Source organism: Homo sapiens, chromosome 9, assembly GCF_000001405.40.
Source record: "Homo sapiens chromosome 9, GRCh38.p14 Primary Assembly".
NCBI lineage: Eukaryota > Metazoa > Chordata > Mammalia > Primates > Hominidae > Homo > Homo sapiens.
The window spans coordinates 61,559,133-61,561,486 of NC_000009.12; the positions used below are offsets into that span (position 1 = coordinate 61,559,133).

Genomic DNA, 2,354 nt, shown 5'->3' on the forward strand with positions numbered 1-2,354 from the left:
TAAGAATTCCCTGGCAGAGGAGGAGGTCCATTCAGATGGCTGGGGGGCCCTCAGAATTTTATTTTTGGTTTACAAAAAGTTTAGGTTATGGGGGACGTTGCTCATGGCTGGTCAGGAGATTGAGAGTGGAAGGGTTTGAGGGAACTGGGGATGGGGGAAAGGGTCTGAGAAGGGGATATACAGAGCTGTCTGGGGCAAGGGGTGGCCTGGGGGGACTCAAACTTTCCATACAGAGGGAGAAGCAGCATAATGAGCTTAATCCTGGGGTCTACAGTGGCAGACAGTGGGGAAAGCAGTGACAGAGAGTTTGCCAGCAGAGGAGGCAGCTGAGGGTGGTCTTACTCAAAGACCCTCCCTGAATGCTGGGAGCTGGGAAGGGGTTGGTTTTGCCCAAGCACATGGGGTCTCACTTGTCTTCAGGCAATGGTGGCTACCTGAGGATAGCGGAGGCTCATTGCCCTAGGCCAAGTGGGAAAACTGCCTCACCCAGAAGGTCACACCCTCCCCCACAACCCAGTGCCTGATTGATGAGGGGAGGGAGAGGAGACACAAAATGGTCCTGGCCTCAAGGCAGGGACAGCCGTGAGGTGCAGTGCTCCTGAACTCCCCTTCATCCAACCAGGCTGAAGCAGTCACAGCCTTGCTCAGCTCTCTGCACTGGCTCTCTACCCCCACTCTCCTTTCCTAGGAGCACCCCCTCCATAATCACCTCCACAGGAATTCCATCTCAGCTCTGCTTCCAGGAAACCTGACCCAAGACAGAGGTTGTTGCAAGGGCAGAGGCCACAGGCATCCACGCCAGCCTCTGTGTGTTCAGTCTGTGAGCAGCCCAATGCTCCCCATGCACTCCTCCTTAAAGCCTACTCAACCCTGGGGTCTGCAGGCAAATTCCTCCCGGGTGCCTTCCCTTGTCCTGGCTGCCGCTCTGCTTCCTTTGCAAGCTCCTTCTCTCACCCTTGCGCTGGCTCCCTCCAGAGGGCTCCATCCCCTGCCCACTGTGCCTTCGTGGGTGGTGCCCAGATCTCTGTCTCCTCTGCCCTGGACCCCTCTGCCCCTGACTGGAAGATCTATAGAGTTCAATGCCCCTGGAGGGCTCCACGTCCATCCCACAGGGACCCGGACTCTCATCTTCCTCCTGAGTGTGCTCTCCCCGGAGACCTGGCATTGGAATTCGCCCTGCCACCTTCTGGTCTCCCCAAGTAGAAACCTGGGCGTCAGTCTGGACGCTTGTCACCAAATTCTGTCCCTTCCACCTTCACATGGCCTCTCCATCTTCACCGCCTCGGTGTCTCTATCTCGTCCCGATCACCGTCGCCTCTCCTCTGGCGGAGAGCACCAGCATTCCCACTGGTCTCTGCTTTTCCTCAAATGCATCTCTGTGTAAATCTCCTCTCAGGATCACTCTGTGACCCCCACTGCTCTGGGTGGAACCTTCTTTCCAGTGGCGTTTCAGTCCCCTGGGTCTGCCTCACTCCTCACCACCGTCTTGTGCTTCTGCACTGAGCTCCAGCCAGACCACCTGCCTGCAGCCACCTGGCGCTACCTGTTCCTGTGTGCTTCCTGCCTTTGCCTGGAGAGAATAACAATCTATAGTCCAAACTCAAGGACAAAAACAAACTGCTTTTTGGCTGTGGTGGCATGAAACCCCAAAAAGTCAATGACAGTGCTGCATGCTTCTGAAAGCTGGCCAGTCAGGGACAGCCCCACTCTACAGAACAGGCCCAGGCAGCAAGAACCTTGTGCCCCTGAAGTCAGGCTGAACACTCTCACTTCTGAAAGCTGGACAATCCTCAATGCCAGGCTTCCCAAGAGACTCAATTTGTTTTGCTCTGAGAGATGGTCCTATAAGCACAGTTCCCCTTTGCTCTAGTAAGCAAGATACTCAGCTTCAGCGCTGACCAGCCTCACGATCCGTCCTCACCAAGTGGAGGGCCCTCCCTCCGGGTTCCTCCACGGCCGTATGTGTCTCTGTTCATACACCTTCCCCTCAGCACTTAGAGACATGGGCTGGCATGGGGGGTGCTGGCGGCAGGGGTGAGAAATAAACTTTCAGCCCTAGATGAGGAGCCCAAGAGGAGAGCATGCCGTCACCTGGAGTCTCTGGTATGTGCCTGGCACCTGTACTGATTGCATTAACCACTGTGATTTTTTAAAAGATGTGCTATTTTGAAATGTATAATACATATGGAGAAGTGTATGAAATATGTACAATTTAAAGATAAGGAAAAATGCATGCCTGTGTGCCCACCACCTAGTGAAGAAATACAACCTGGACACCGCTTTGGAAGCCTGTCTGTGTTCACCCGTCGCATTCTCCCTCCTCCCCCAGCCCAGGTATCCTCCATCCTTTAGCC

General features: G+C 54.8%; 1 annotated feature.

Moving 5' to 3' along the window:
* Nucleotides 693-1,192: an enhancer, noted in NCBI's record as "H3K4me1 hESC enhancer chr9:44767663-44768162 (GRCh37/hg19 assembly coordinates)". NCBI's record gives its function as "activates a minimal SCP1, AML or CMV promoter by ChIP-STARR-seq in naive H9 embryonic stem cells {active_cell/tissue: H9 hESC(naive)}" and the evidence as "EXISTENCE:reporter gene assay evidence [ECO:0000049][PMID:30033119]".